Here is a 15,312-nt window from a genome sequence, read left to right on the forward strand (position 1 = left end):
TTGGTCTTTTCAGGAACTTGCCATTTTTAACATAGCTCACTGTTTTGACTGTGTTGTGTATGATTTCATCCCCATGCACATTCACATGAAAAGTGAGTTGTCTAACCCTGGGCTATGTTTTCATTTATTTTCAGAGTATTCACATACTGGAGAGGACTGCTTCCTCTAGCACCGAGCCCTCTGTAAGTCGGCAATTGCTAGAACCGGAGCCAGTCCCCCTCTCCAAGGTCAGTGATGAAATGCGGTGCTTTCTCTGCTGGCATGATGCCTGCTCTGGGGCCAATTGAACTGTGAATAACGTTTACACCTGACTCCCCTAAAATACTTGTGATGCCACTTGTAGGCAACTCTTTGCACTTTTTCTGCTTCCAAGGAGTAGAGTTTCTCTGCCCTTTATAAGAGAGAACAGAGAATGTATACTTTGCTGGGATTTGTAGGGTTACATTCAAAGGTCCAAAATTCTGTTTAAGGGAAGAAGGAAAAAGAAGCTATTGCCTTCCCTGTTGGAGATAAACAAATATTTCTATGCCCAGCTAATGGAAAAGAAAAAAAACTGCATCCAGCAATAAAAATAATAACAGCTACCATTATTGCCCATGTACTGCATCACCGGACACTATGAGAAGTATTTAAATCTATTATCCCATTTAATATAGTTCTCATAAACAGCTCCACACAGTGTAGGTATTTATCACATTTTACAAATATGGAAACTGAGAGTTAATAACTTGCCCATAGTAAAAACATAAATAAATAAGTAAATAAGCTATCAAGGATTATAGCAGAGCAAGAATTCAAACTTAGACTTGTCCAACTCCACAACCAATGCTTGTCAGCTCTTCCCAAGCTGCAAGGTAAAATAGAACCTATGCGGAGGGACTGTTGTATATTCTGGCTTCTAGGCTCCTTCTCACATCTGGCCTTCCTAGCAATGAGCTCGTGAGAGAACACTGCAGATTATTTAGAAGACCTTTTCTGTGTCATGGGAGCCAGTGTTCCCTCCCCTTCAGCCTGCTCTTCCTCAGACTGGGGAAAATTAAATTCACGTATGTCTAAAATGTAAAAATGATAGGGAAAAGTTGGAAAGATACCATCCTACTCCTGCCCATCCCTCCCTGAGATTTTCAATGGGCTTCCTCCTTTATTGAGAAATTCTGAAAATAGAATGCATACAGACTTTGAATTCCAGTATAAAAATAGCACTTTATACCCAAAGACGGTTAACTTCTAAATATGTAAAACTGATCATTACACCTTGCTTTTCTATATTAAACATAATCCTTTTAGAAAAGAACACTTTACTACCCAACTGTATGGAATATATACACTTGAACCTCTTTAAACTGTAAAGATATGACAAGCTATAAAGTTTGTTCTATCAGACAAGAATAGACTGCTAAACCATGGAAAGCAGGGAGTTATTAAACTATAAAACATAAGTGGTCTGACTTCCATTTGAATAGCGAGTACAGACTGTATACCTGGTAAATATAATATGACTAGTAATCTCTTTGAAATAGCAATTCTCTCTTATAGTTAGCTAAAGGAAATAGAGAACAAATAAATAAAAGGGCAATGGAAAAAGGTAGCTAAAATTTATTGAGCACCTACTTTACGCCAGGCACTGGATTAGAACATGTATTATCTCACTTAATCAGCCCCCAACTCATTGAAGTACATATCAATATTGTTCTCACTTTACTGATAATTATGGCATAGTTTTCCGGCATGAAGGCCCCAGCTTGGTCAAACAGCAATTCTTCCTAGAAGGAGGTGGCTGTTAGCCCAGCTCACAGCAGATGGGGCTTGGGTCCACTGGCTTGATATAAAGGAATCTGGGTAGGGTACAAACAGCATCTACTTCCCATTACTTCTCCATGTTGTTGCCCACTTAGATCTTGCTGTAGGACTAATAAACCCTGGTTGTGTTTCTGTGTCAGTAGACACCACATCTCTTGGGGCCTCATGAAATCAGAGGGCCATATCTAACCCAGGTACCATCACATCTCACCATCTCTCAGCCCCTTTGAGAGATGGGCTTCCTGGGCACTGATTAGTGGTGGAAGAATTTTTTTTTTTTTTTTGAAGTACACATTGTCCTGATCAGGATTTGTTCCAATCCTAAGCTTGATGCATTCACCTGCTAAAGCATTTTTATGTACCCACACACATGCACACTCACCCACATACATCTGCAAACGTGTGCACATACAGTTTACCCTTCAGAAAGGAAATGTCTCTGTTTTTTCCAAATGAAAAAACTTGGGCGATTATGACATTACTGTCTGTTCTTATTTATTGTTATTAGATTAAAAGTATTTTTAAAACTTATAATACCAAAAATATGTATATATCTGGCTTAAGTACTGACATGATCACATTATGGCTTTTAGCTCTGTTATAAGTAAACCCAGGAAAATTGGAGACTTTTAAACAGAAAAAATATCAACTGAAATTACAAAAACAAATTCTTCAATTTTCAGAAATCAATTTTAGTTTTCTTAAGATAGTCCTAGTCTACTAAGTATAGAGGGAGAAATTTTAACATAATGGAAAATAGAACATAGAAGGTTCTATTTTATACTGAGATGAGTTGTTTCATTTCTTACACACTGTATTTGTAACATTATCCACAGCATTTATAATTGAAACGGGGGAACATTGTCTGCTCTGGTTTTATCTTTTGCCTCTGTCAGGTTGACAGCCTATTTAATTGTGAGAACTATAGTAGGATTCTTTTCCATTTCTTTTACTGGACTTAGTAATATTGCATCAGACTGAATAAAATTATTTGCTCCAAGCTGTCACATCTATGTTTAAGAAATACATTTTAACTTTTTGCCTTTCTATCTTATCTCTTTTTCCCCCCCTTCTGGAGTTAAACTCTCAAAGAAGAAAAAAAACACTGTGATAGAAATTAGTAGCCATACCTAAGAATGATACATTGGAAACTTTGGGGGCTCTGGGGAAAGGGTGGGGGGTGGCGAGGGATAAAAGACTACACAGTGGGTACATTGTACACTGCTTGGGTGATGGGTGCACCAAAGTCTCAGAAATCACCACTAAAGAACTTATTCATGTAACCAAACACCACCTGTTCCCCAAAAACCCATTGAAATGAAAAAATAAAAAATTGGAAAAAAGAAATTAGTAGTTAGTAGCCATTACTACAATCTGAGTTTAGTCAGAAGAAAACTTGCAAAGATCTGCACTTATTAAATGTTTCCACTTTCACAAGTCACACAGAATATTCTTCATCATCCACATGTAGACACACAGTAAACCAAAGGTGAACACAAACTTCCAAATCTAGCCAGAAATAAAAATATTATTCTTCCAGAGATATTATCCATGGATGGGGCTACTGAAAATAGAAGTGCCACTAAATATAGTGGATATCTCTCTAAGAACAGAGAGAGAGCTCTAATGAATATATTTATACATAGATGGAGATTATTTTCTAGAATATAGTGGTCATCTAACTTTCTGTGTGAGTCAAAAGCCACAGGCATTAGACTTTTTATAAGAGCCTACTAGTTTCTCCTATTATTCTAAACATTATTCATAAACAGTGCTAACTTGTTGAATTGCAATTCACTACTAAGAAATGCAACCCAGGGGCTCCCAGGGGCATGTGTATCTTTGAAAGCACGAAGTTCTTTGGTGTGTCTTTGGTGAGCAGGTGTCTTATGTGCACTTTGGAATGCAAGCAAACCTCCCCGAGAGCAGCCGTGACCACAGCGCTGTTATTCCCTGTTAATAGCAGGTTCTGAGCCACTTGAGACAACAGCAGCCTTTCCATTTCTACACAGAAAGCCAGGTCCACACACTAATTGAACATTTGTCATCAAAGTAGTCTTATTTTGAAACTTTAAAGTGCCTCTGTGTTCAGGGATTCACTGTCTGGAAAAATGAATTTTAAACATTCTGAGTACAGGCAATCGAATTTCCATCCTACCCCAAACAGACAAGGTGGCTCCACTGAGTCTCTGATGGACCCCACTTACCTCTAGGTCTACCTGGGAAACTCTTTTTAACTGAAGTTAAAAGTGCATAGCTGTGTTTGATGTTAGAATTTGCTCCGGAATGTTGTTCATCCTTCTTTCTGGTGGGCCTAGTACTGCTTCAAAAGCAACTTCTACTTAAGAATCTGCTTTAAGTGTGTCATCAGGCACTGAGTAACATGTGATTTGTTTTTCTTCTTTTCTCTCAGGAAGCTGACAGCTGGGAAATTATAGAAGGGCTGAAAATAGGCCAAACCAATGTCCAGAAACCAGACAAACATGAGGGCTTTATGCTGAAGAAAAGAAAATGGCCTTTAAAAGGCTGGCACAAGGTAACATTTTTATCATATTCAGGTTCAGACCATCTTCATAAATAAAGAAGATCTTATTTGCTATCATGGGGTGGGAAACTAAGAATATGGCAGTATGTGTAAAACTAGCTTTTTAAAACTTTTTTTTGAGACAGATTCTCACTCTGTTACCCAAGCTGGAGTGCAGTGGCATGATCTCAGCTCACTGCAGCTTCCACCTCGCAGGTTCAAGCGATTCTTCCACCTCAGCCTCCTGAGTAGCTAGGACTACAGGTGCATGCCACCATGCCTGACTAATTTTTTTATTTTTAGTAGAGACAGATTTTTGCCCTGTTAGCCAGGCTGGTCTTGAACTCACAGCCCCAAGTGATCCGCCCACCTCAGCCTCACAAAGTCCTGGGATTACAGGTGTGAGCCACCACACCCGGCTGTAAAACTAACTTTTAAGGCCTTATTTTAACCACATGGGTTGTAGTCTATTATAGTTAACAGAGACTGAGATCTGTAATATACATATGGAGGGAAAAAAATATGTGATATTTAATCCAGTTGGTATGTATTGTTGTCTGATTTGCTTTTTTCACTTAAATTAGTATAGATAAGTTCTCATTAAATACTCTTTGAAATATGAGGTATTTTAAATGCATGCATGTATCACTTTGGATGGATCTATATTATATATCCCACTGCTATCGAACTAATTCCCTGTTGCTGGATATGTAAGACATGCCTTATTTTTTTACTATTGTGATGTGATGAACATCCTTACACATGAACTTCTATTTAGTTCTTTGGGATACATTCCTAGAATTATTGTTACCAGTACAAACTAAAGCTGGAGTTCACTGATCCCAGAAGTTTGTTTACTGCTCTTTGAAGGCTACAGTTTATTCCTCTCCTTCCTCCCAACATCCTTGTCCTATCTCTAAGTTTAAATTATAGAGAAAATATTTTTTACTGCATTTTACCATTACCCAAATAGCAAGGATTCTGTCATACTAAGGAGGAGAAAGTTGCCGTACATTTTCAGTTTAAACTATTATTTTTATTTATTTACTTATTTTTTTTTTTTTTTGAGACAGAGTCTCACTCTGTCACCCAGGCTGGAGTGCAATGGCACAATCACGGCTCATTGCAACCTCCACCTCTCGGGTTCAAGTGATTCTTCTGCCTCAGCCTCCCTCCAGAGTAGCTGGGACTACAGGCGCACGCCACCACGCTTGGCTAATTTTTTTTTATTTTTATTTTTAGTAGAGATTGGGTTTCACCATATCGGCCAGGCTGGTCTCAAACTCCTGACCTCATGATCTGCCTGCCTCGGCCTCCCAAAGTGCTGGGATTACAGGCGTGAGCCACCACGTCAGTTTAAACTCTTTAGTGGGCCACCCAGTATCCTCTTTGAAATCAGTGGAAGAATAAATCTATATATTTGGCACATCTGCACGTGGATTTCATCTCAGGGCAGATAAATTTATTGGCCCAAATGGCCAGTGGTGGCTGCCCATTGGCTCAGTGCAGGGAGGTTATGTATGTTAACTTCCTTGAGGAAACATTTTATGTGTTTTAAGGGAAAGACTTAAAAATGAACACATGGGAAATGTTGCCCCGGTGCCCTGTCTCTGAAAGTGCCTTCTTCCTTGTCAGAAACGATCTTTCCTGAACCCATAATATTATCGTAGTGCCAAGGACCTGTCCTCACTGTCGTTCTTCCTGAGATTTTCGCCAATTGGCCATCCTCCTTCCTACAATCACTGTTGCCTTTCATCCTTTGTGTTTCCCCAAATTGATGGCCTTGCTAATCTCTTTCCTTATGATATGCTATAGGTGATCTCTGCTGAAATTCTTGGATAGACAGAAATGGAAACCACAGGAAAAAACCGTCAAAGAAACAAATTTTGTATGAATTGCTAACTTTAATTTAGCACTTTCAGTCCATGTTTCAACAAAACTGGCTGTGGTTTGGCAGCAACTTTCTAGACCGTGCCTTTGAACATTTTGCTACATAAATAACAGGAGGGCCTGCTTTGCATTGTTGTCTTTTCTTCTGATCTCTACAACCACCATGTGTTTATTCAGATGTCAGCCCATTTGATTGACCAAGTTAAGGGCAACTGATTTTAATCAAGTGTTTTTCAACCGTAGAGACTCTTTTTTTCCAGTGTTTACTTGTTGTCCCGCAGAACCTGTAACAAAGGGTTTACAGTGGCCTTCTGTCAGTCCTGTGCAGAACTCATAGGGGTTCTCTGTGCAGAACTCACAGAAGGCCACTGTACTTACAGAAGGCGATCCCGAGGCCTGACTGCCTGCCATCTTAGCAGCTAAGAGGTCCCAAATCACATAAAAACTTACCAGCAGAGTAATTTGCCAGGAACAGAAAAATTCCTTGCATCTGTAGAACTAGAGGGCACAGGACCCATTCTTTGACCGGGCCCTGGGAGCTGTTTGTTCTCTTGTGAATTGCCCGTGGAAGAAAAATCAACAGCTGAGAGTTCCTGAGTGTTTGTAGAGCAAAAAGGGCAAATCCATTCAGACTGTACTAGGATTATCTTGGAGGAGAAAAAATTGCCAAAAACCCCTCTCTTTTTTTACCCTTAGTGTAGTTCAGAAATAATTTTCAACCTCTTTGATTAATGGTAGAATGCAAACATTTGCTAACTAGAGATGCAAGCATATTACTAAGCCCACTTAAATTTTCCAGATAATTCATTATTCATAGATTCAGTCCACTGGCTTCTGTAATGGACATGAACATTTTCAGGAATTGTCTGTGGTATCCAGGGAAAATTCAGAAGTTTATATTCACGGTGAAAAATTCCCTGTAGACCTGTATAGAGCTCCTTACAGAGTCACTGTGATCATTTCTCACTTTGAAAAACATCCCAATGTGGTTCATTCAGGGGATTGTAGCTTCAGGTCCTCAGATTCCTCCCCTGTTAAGAAAAATCATGGTGAAAAGACTCCATCCCCATTGGATTATGTATAAAAGAATCTTGGTAGGTTAACAGTATGGAACTAGAGCTCTTATCTCCTTACCATTTAATGTGACTGACTGTGGCCAAATGCACTGAATCCAGATACATTAAAATGATCAAACATATTGATTAATAAATGCCAAGCAACATTAGACCCACATTTGTGAATGTTTTATGTAATTCAAAATACAGACAGTAACTGGGGGTGTTTGGTTCTTGCAGCGTTTTTTTGTCCTGGATAATGGAATGTTAAAGTATTCAAAGGCACCACTCGATGTAAGTAGCACACAGGACATGTTTCAAAGGTTGATTTCGAATTCTGCTTGAAGTGAGTAAACACTGTAATTGTACAAGCCTTGTGCCATAGTTACCAGCTTTGTGCATGTCTGGGCCTGTAAGATTTCACAAGCTCCCAAACCTCCATGTTCTAAAGTGTGTCAACCTAGTGCATGAAGATTTAACTATTTTGATGTGTGTTATTAAAAACAGAAGCTTAAACCTTAAAAGTGACGCATGAGTAAAATCACCTTCTGTCACTTGGATAGAAAACGCAAATGGGCTTTTTTCCTCCATCTTCCAATAAACTCTGCTTTATGTGTGCTGCTCTGTTCTTGTCAATGTCCTTTTAAAAACTATCTTACAAATTTTATTTCTACGTCATACATCTTTTTATCTTGGAGATCCCAATTCACAAAAATTATTTCAAATTGTTTTTGTTTAGTATACAAAGGAGTAGTTTGCATGTAACACTGGAAAATTCCTTCCTTCATCATTGTGGTGTAGGGGAAGTAACTGAAGGCTTAGGTTTCAGTTTTGTCCCCATCCCTGCCATTGAATCAGCCATGTCCTTGATCAGTGGAGCAGCCAGAAGGAAGAGCTGGCTGCTCCTTGCTTTCTGGTCCCAGCTGCCCTGTTCTGCCCCAGCAGCTGTCTGCCAGCTGATTACTCAGGGATGTTCTGGGTTATACGTCAAAGATTGACCGCAGTTATTTTAGGACCGCTAAAGATGTCCTTTTGGGAGAATATAAGCTGTGCAATCTAGAATTATGAAGAATTAGTATTACATTCTATGCCAAAACAGGAATAAGATGAATAGTCTTATTTATAAAAATTGACGTGAAGTCACTGCAACATCAACTGTCCTAGAACCTAATCCATAGAACCTTAACTATTTTCTGTTTGTTAAGGAGGTATATGTAGTATTCCACTTCCCATAGATAAGTTAAAGATTACTTTGAGTTCACTTAAATACAGTACAGAAACATCAAATCATATATCCTTTCAGCCTATTTACTAGTCTTTTGATTTCAGATTCAGAAAGGAAAGGTCCATGGGAGCATAGATGTGGGACTCTCAGTCATGTCAATTAAAAAGAAAGCTCGAAGAATAGACCTTGACACCGAAGAGCACATCTATCATTTGAAGGTGAAATCAGTTTTCAACAGTTTCTCTGCCATTATCAGGGGAAACGATTTGCCTACACCAGTGGTAGGCAGGAGAGTTATTTTACAATTACTTTCTCCTCTCGTTCATTGTTTTAGGTGAAATCCCAGGACTGGTTTGATGCATGGGTCTCCAAACTGCGACATCATCGGTTGTATCGTCAGAATGAAATTGTGAGATCACCAAGAGATGCTAGTTTTCACATATTTCCTTCAACGTCCACAGCTGAATCCTCACCAGCTGCTAATGTTTCTGTAATGGATGGAAAGGTATGACTTTGTTCTATAAAAACCAGCCTGAAAATTGCTTAGAAAATTATGCAAATTTTGGCCAGGCACTGTGGCTCACGTGTGTAATCCCAGCACTTTGGGAGGCCAAGGCGGGTGGATCGCCTGACAGCCAGGAGTTCGAGACCAGCCTGGGCAACATGGTGAAAACCCCATCTCTACTAAAAACACAAAAATTTGTCAAATGTGATGCTGCATAGCTGTAATCCCAGGTACTCGGGAGGCTGAAGCACGAAAATTGCTTGAACCTGGGAGGCGGAGGTTGTAGTGAGCCAAGATTGTGCCACTACTGAATAGCCTGGGCAATAGAGCAAGACTGCGTCTCAAAAATAAATAAATAAAATAAAATAAAAAAGAAAATTATGCAAATGCATAACTGAGTCTCATTTGGGAAAACCAGAAAGAGGAGGTTTGCTTTGTAAACTAACACTCAGAAGACAACAGTGACATTTGGCATGAAAGTTAATTGCAAGTATAAATTAGGCAGAAATGTGGATCACCAAGAGAATTAGCAGTTAATTTTCCCTTTTATGAACGGACTACCTTTTAACTTTATGTGGCTTTGTAGGAATACTAGGAAGTAAGTAAACATTTATTTAATCAACATTCAGAAATCAGGTGCCTTCCTGGATGGTAATAAGAAAACCTCAGTCTTGAAAATGAAACTTGCCTTTGTGTCTTGACCTATAATATATACATGAGAGGCTATTAAATTTCTCCATGAAGTAATTACATGTGAGCTCAAGAATGTGACAATAATATAAATAGCAGCCTATTTAAGTGGTCAGGCACTGTGTTAAGCATTTGGCACTCATTCGTCTCTGATCTTTCAAATAACCAAAGTTCAGAGACAGTAAAAAATTTGTCCAGAAGTGACATAGCCATTAAACAGCTGAGCCAGGATCCAAGCCCACATCTGTTCCCAAAGTCAGTGCCCTTTCCATTTTTACCAGGTGCCAGACTAAGGGAGGCTGACCTTGTTCTCTGGGCTGAAATAAGAGTTCACTTCTGTGTTGATGAAAAGCAAGAGATGTTGTTTGTTAAAAAAAAATCAAGGTTAAGTCAACAGACAGGGAAACAGCTGTTTCTGCCTTTGATTCAATAATTAAGTTTCCTGAAACCTAGCCCCACTGCACTGCGCAGGGGTGCTCCGCCTTCACATTTGGCACCTGAAATTGAGGGCAGAGAGGGTGAGGAAGCTGGCTGCCACAGTACGTTGTGTTCAAGAACGTTCCAATGAAGATTCTGCTTTTCTTTGCTTACACAGGAATGTATGTCATACATACATCCAAGTTTCCTTTGCAAACCATTGAAAAACCTCATAGAGTAACTGCAATACTAACCAAATCAGATTAAATGAAACATTACTATATTCAGTTTTTGTTATTTTAATGGCAGTTTTTGATAGATCCTATTAACGATGTTAAAATTATCTCAAACCTTACGTTATTTATTTATTTACTTATTTATTTATTTTTGAGACAAAGTCTCACTCTGTCACCCAGGCTGGAGTGCAGTGGTGTGGTTTTGGCTCACTGCAACCTCCTCAACCTCCTCCTCCTGAATTCAATTGATTCTCCTGCCTCAGCCTTCAGAGTAAGCTGGGATTACGGGTGCCTACCACCACACCCAGCTCATTTTTAGTAGAGACAGGGTTTCGCCATGTTGGCCATGCTGGTCTCAAACTCCTGACCTCAAGTGATCTGCCCACCTCGGCCTCCCAAAGTGCTGGGATTACAGGCGTGAGCCACCACACCTGGCCTTAAACCTCACATTATTCCATTCTGGTTGCAGCCTTGCCAAGGACTATTTAATTATCTTTTTTCTAGGAATAGGGTGTTGGATTAACCCTAATACCAACCAGTTCTGAAATAAAAAAGGGAACGAACCATCTGGTCAGGGCATCAGGAAGGTTGGGAACTTACAGATGCCCAAGATAGTGCCGAGTTTCTCTGGCCTCCTGTGTTCTCACCAGAAGGCAGACTGAATCCTAGATTTAGTCCTTGTTAAATGAGAAATGTATTCCAAATAGATCTTTAAAAAATATAAATTTTTAATTACTTGGTTCATCCAGCTTCTGCCTACATCACTGGCACAGACTATTGATGAAAATATTTTATCTCTTATTTATTAAATTATTAAAATATTTATTAAATTTATTGATGAAAATATATTATTTTCATCCCTTATTTGTTAAATAACTTGGGTGATATCTGAGAATGGAAGACTAAAATCAAATCCTCCCCACTGTTTGCCTTGAAATAAGAAAGCTCTTCAGCTCTGGTTTTCAAAACAGATTTATTGCTCTGGTTAATGACATACCTCTAAGATCTGCTTGGTGAAAGATTTCCATTACATTTATCAACATGCAATAAAGAGTGAAAAGAGCTTTTTATCACTTTGCCTGTCTTCTACATATCAAATTATGAGACTCCTGAATGTTAATTAGTTTGTGGCCCTCTGTGAGTAATAAATAAGCCTGGGTTTGCTAAGAATGTGCATCATTCACTTTGTAATGATTTAGAAGAGACACAACTCAGTTGTAGTTGGATATTAAAGTCAACTATGGAGTTTTAAAATTATTTCAATTTTTTAAGAATTAAGTTTCTTCTTTTTTCACTGTTTCCTGCAGGCACCTTAGTATCTATATACTTAATACAATTTTCACTTATTTCACATAAAATCTTTTTAATGAGAAGTCTATAGATAATAACTTTAATGGAAAGCTATAGATAATAACTTGCCATGACTGCCTTTTTATAAATAATTTCCAATACGAATTCAAGGCATTGCAAGGTTGCTTACTGGTGGATAATGTATTTAGGAATCACATGTGGTTGAGGAGAACTTGAGTGGTCATAAGGGTACAGAAACCTTTTGGAAAGGAAAGACCTTAAATCATGAGTTAAGAGTACTGCAGTAAGGACACTGCAAATACAATTTACTCAGCGATTAAAAATTACTGGGAAATTGAGTTGGCAGATCCTTGTAATTATGAGATACAACACACTTAAATGTTGTCCTTCATTGAATGATGGAGATGGCAGTTTAATGAGGGGTTGCTGTTTAGGAATGTCGCCCTCACTGGGCACAAACCACATTTAGCCAAGAGGCTTCTTCCATGTTTTGAGTGTGCATTTTCTTCCTCTCTTTGTTAATACGGTTTTGAGGATACTTGTATTTTTTTAATCATTGAAATGTACTGTTTCATAACCATACAATTCATCTTTGTTTGCCGTAGATGCAACCAAACAGCTTTCCGTGGCAGTCCCCTTTACCATGCAGCAATAGCCTCCCTGCAACGTGCACAACTGGCCAGAGTAAAGTGGCAGCCTGGTTACAGGACTCGGAAGAGATGGACAGGTGTGCAGAAGGTTAGTTCTTGCCCAGTGTGGCCTGAGAGTAAGCCAAAACCAAACAAGAAACAAAACCCGAAGAGGTCAATTATGAGTGCTACATCTTTTACCCTGATTGCCTTGATCGTCTTGACCTTTCCTTGCTCTTTCTCCCCCTTGTTCTTATTTTTATGCACCAGCTCCTTCTCTCTGCCATGACTCAGGCTCCTTACCTGCCAGTTCTCTTGCACCCTCACAGCAGTTGAATCTGGTTCTTGCCTTTCCCCTGACTTCTACCCACTTCAGCCTTCTCTCCTTGTCTTTTCACCATTTCCTTCTGGCTTCTTTAGCTCCTGGATCCTGGGGCAGTCACACAGAGGAGTAACCCCCAAGGAGAGCCTACTCTGCCCATGGTCCCAGAATCACTGCTCTGTCGTCCTCACTAGGTCACTTCCGCAGCTGCCTTCTCTTCTGCTCTGTCTTGCCCATGGAGCAGGTGTATGTTTCCTGACAACTCGGCAATAAATGGCAAAGTTGTAAAATGCTGCATCTTATATCCACAGTTACCTGTTAGTGTGCTCCACTGTGGATCAGTGATTCAATATTCTGAACCAATACCTGCTTCTCTCATACTGCCATCTCTGAGCCTCTTCATCTCTTCTTACCTTCACCTTCCTCGTAATTAGCCAGAGCACAATGGTTCAAACTTGATCTACAGACCATTTCCATTCTATGAGACAGTTTTCATTTGACCTTCAAAACCGAGAAAAACAAGGGCAATGCAGACACTGTTTAATACGGCTCAATTAGTTTATTTTTAGATGATCCTAAGATGATATTGGGCCTATTTTTTCAAATTATTTTTTCTTATAAAATTATAATAAAAGTAGATATTAGATCACTTTTTTGTGTTCTCACTTAAAAAAATTAAAATTTGGTAATCTATGTTAGTCCTCCAACCAAAAGAATTTTTTCTTACTCTACCAGCATGTGGACTCAAAGTATGCAGCATTTTTTGTCATTTTTATCAGCCTTCTGAGATACTCACATCCCAGACTTTATGTGAAAGTATGATTTCCTCTCTTTCTTATTGTAAATAATAGAAGTGACAAAGAATGATGTAGCATGGCCCAGGTGAAGGCTCTAGCAGGGTGATGAGACATAGCGCAGTAAGTATTTCTTAGAGACCATTTCTGGCTTTCATAGAACTTTCTCATCTACCATCTCAGTAAGCAGGTAGGAGAGCTAAATGCTACTATCACCATTTGACAGATAAGGAAACTACAACTGAAAAATCTAAATTGATGTCTCCTTACGCTTAGTTTTGAGTCCTTGGCCTTAAACTGAATTATTCACAAAGTTCTGTTTTCATTCTGTTAGAAAAAGGGTGATGGTTTTCAGCCCCAATTCCAGATTTCTATGCTTATATAGCACCATTTATATAGAACAATCACAAATATTAGGGAGTATGAATGTAATATTTCCTGGATAGAAAGCTCAAAATGAAATTTTTAGCAACTGACCACAAAAATAAGAAAAGTAACTCAGTATTCTCTTTTTTTTTTGAGACGGAGTCTTGCTCTATTGCATAGGCTGGAGTGCAATGGTGCTATCTCTGCTCACTGCAACCTCCGCCTCCCTGGTTCAAGAGATTCTTCTGCCTCAGCCTTCTGAGTAGCTGGGATTACAGGCACCCACCATCATGCCTGGCTAATTTTTGTAGAGATGGGGTTTCACCATATTGGCCAGGCTGGTCTTGAACTCCTGACCTCAGGTCATCCTCCCACCTCTGCCTCCCGACGTGCTGGGATTACAGGCATGAGCCACCGCACCCAGCCCAATATTCTTGACCGTGTTTAATTTCACATATTAAAGGTCAGTTTTTTTTTTAAAGAGTGATATTTTATTGTATAGATTTTTAAATATTCTCTTGTACTAAATAAACCAAAAAATTTAAAAGAAAACTAAATGTCATTTCTTCATTCTAAACGTTAATTCAGACAGAATGAGTTGATGTCCAGGTGATGATGATATTGCTGGACCAGCGAATGCACTTTGAAAATCTGATTTGGTTAATATAATGTCTCTAAGAAATTTTAAAGTCATTCATTTCAACATTGTTAGTGAGCTAAATTACAGAAAATATGTTTAACTGATTCTGTATTCCGTCCTATTTTTCTGAACTTGATTTTAACGCTACCCAAATTCCAGATAACCATCTTCTAAAGCATGTTAGAGGAGCAGGTAGACAAGCTCCTAACAATGAAACCACAGGACTGCTGAAGTTCACTTGAGTGTGCTTCCCATGTGGCAAAAGCTATCAGAGCAGAAAAGGGATCACATACAGTGTGACTGAGAGTTTCATGGTTTCTGCACTAATAGCTATTAACTTTTAAGAGTGAGCTTTGAAATATAATGAATGGTTTTTGGTTCTGCACCAGAAAAGGGTCTGTTTTGTTTCACCTGCCAGTATCTTCATCATATAAACATGGATCTGCCTACTTATATTTGCCATAATTTGCATTGACCCTTTTATTACCATCCCCACCGCTCCCTACCCAATTTTAACGTATTTTTATTTCTGATTTCTTATTAGATCTTGCACATTGCCAGTCAAACCTTGTGGAACTTAGCAAACTCCTGCAAAATTTGGAAATACTTCAGAGAACTCAGTCGGCACCTAACTTTACTGACATGCAGGTAAACATATTCCTGCTGCTGGTAAAAGGACTTAGGGTATTAATTAATACTCTTTATTGGGTTGTTCTATGAATATATAAGGTAACATTTAAAGATAAATAACTGCAATACAGACATTCATTTATATTCTGGAGTTATTTTTAATATTTTTGAATCTCAGTGTCAGTGTGTTAAGATGATTATTTTAAAACATTTTACATTTAAATACACACTAACCAAAAGAAATACATTCAGTATCTGAATTATTCTTCCATGTTTGT

General features: G+C 38.7%; 1 protein-coding gene across 50 annotated transcripts in view, besides 1 other annotated feature; it reads left to right on the forward strand.

The window, feature by feature from the left end:
- Positions 1-15,312, forward strand: part of OSBPL6 (oxysterol binding protein like 6) — a 209,120-nt gene that overhangs the window by 130,269 nt on the left and 63,539 nt on the right. For 37 of the 50 annotated variants that reach the window (XM_047443150.1, XM_047443130.1, XM_047443154.1 and 34 more), the window contains 7 exons: positions 135-227; positions 4,214-4,336; positions 7,510-7,563; positions 8,599-8,712; positions 8,829-8,999; positions 12,259-12,391; positions 14,949-15,052. In XM_047443150.1, the coding sequence (XP_047299106.1) occupies positions 135-227; positions 4,214-4,336; positions 7,510-7,563; positions 8,599-8,712; positions 8,829-8,999; positions 12,259-12,391; positions 14,949-15,052 (792 nt within the window). The remainder of the gene's footprint in view (positions 1-134; positions 228-4,213; positions 4,337-7,509; positions 7,564-8,598; positions 8,713-8,828; positions 9,000-12,258; positions 12,392-14,948; positions 15,053-15,312) is intronic. The other 13 variants (XM_047443146.1, XM_047443145.1, XM_047443156.1 and 10 more) reach the window with 1 other exon arrangement.
- Positions 9,860-10,154: a silencer, noted in NCBI's record as "tiled region #7285; K562 Repressive non-DNase unmatched - State 15:Elon". NCBI's record gives its function as "represses a minimal TATA promoter and a strong SV40 promoter by Sharpr-MPRA in K562 cells {active_cell/tissue: K562}" and the evidence as "EXISTENCE:reporter gene assay evidence [ECO:0000049][PMID:27701403]".

The sequence above is a fragment of the Homo sapiens genome, chromosome 2 (assembly GCF_000001405.40).
Source record: "Homo sapiens chromosome 2, GRCh38.p14 Primary Assembly".
NCBI classification, from domain to species: Eukaryota; Metazoa; Chordata; class Mammalia; order Primates; family Hominidae; genus Homo; species Homo sapiens.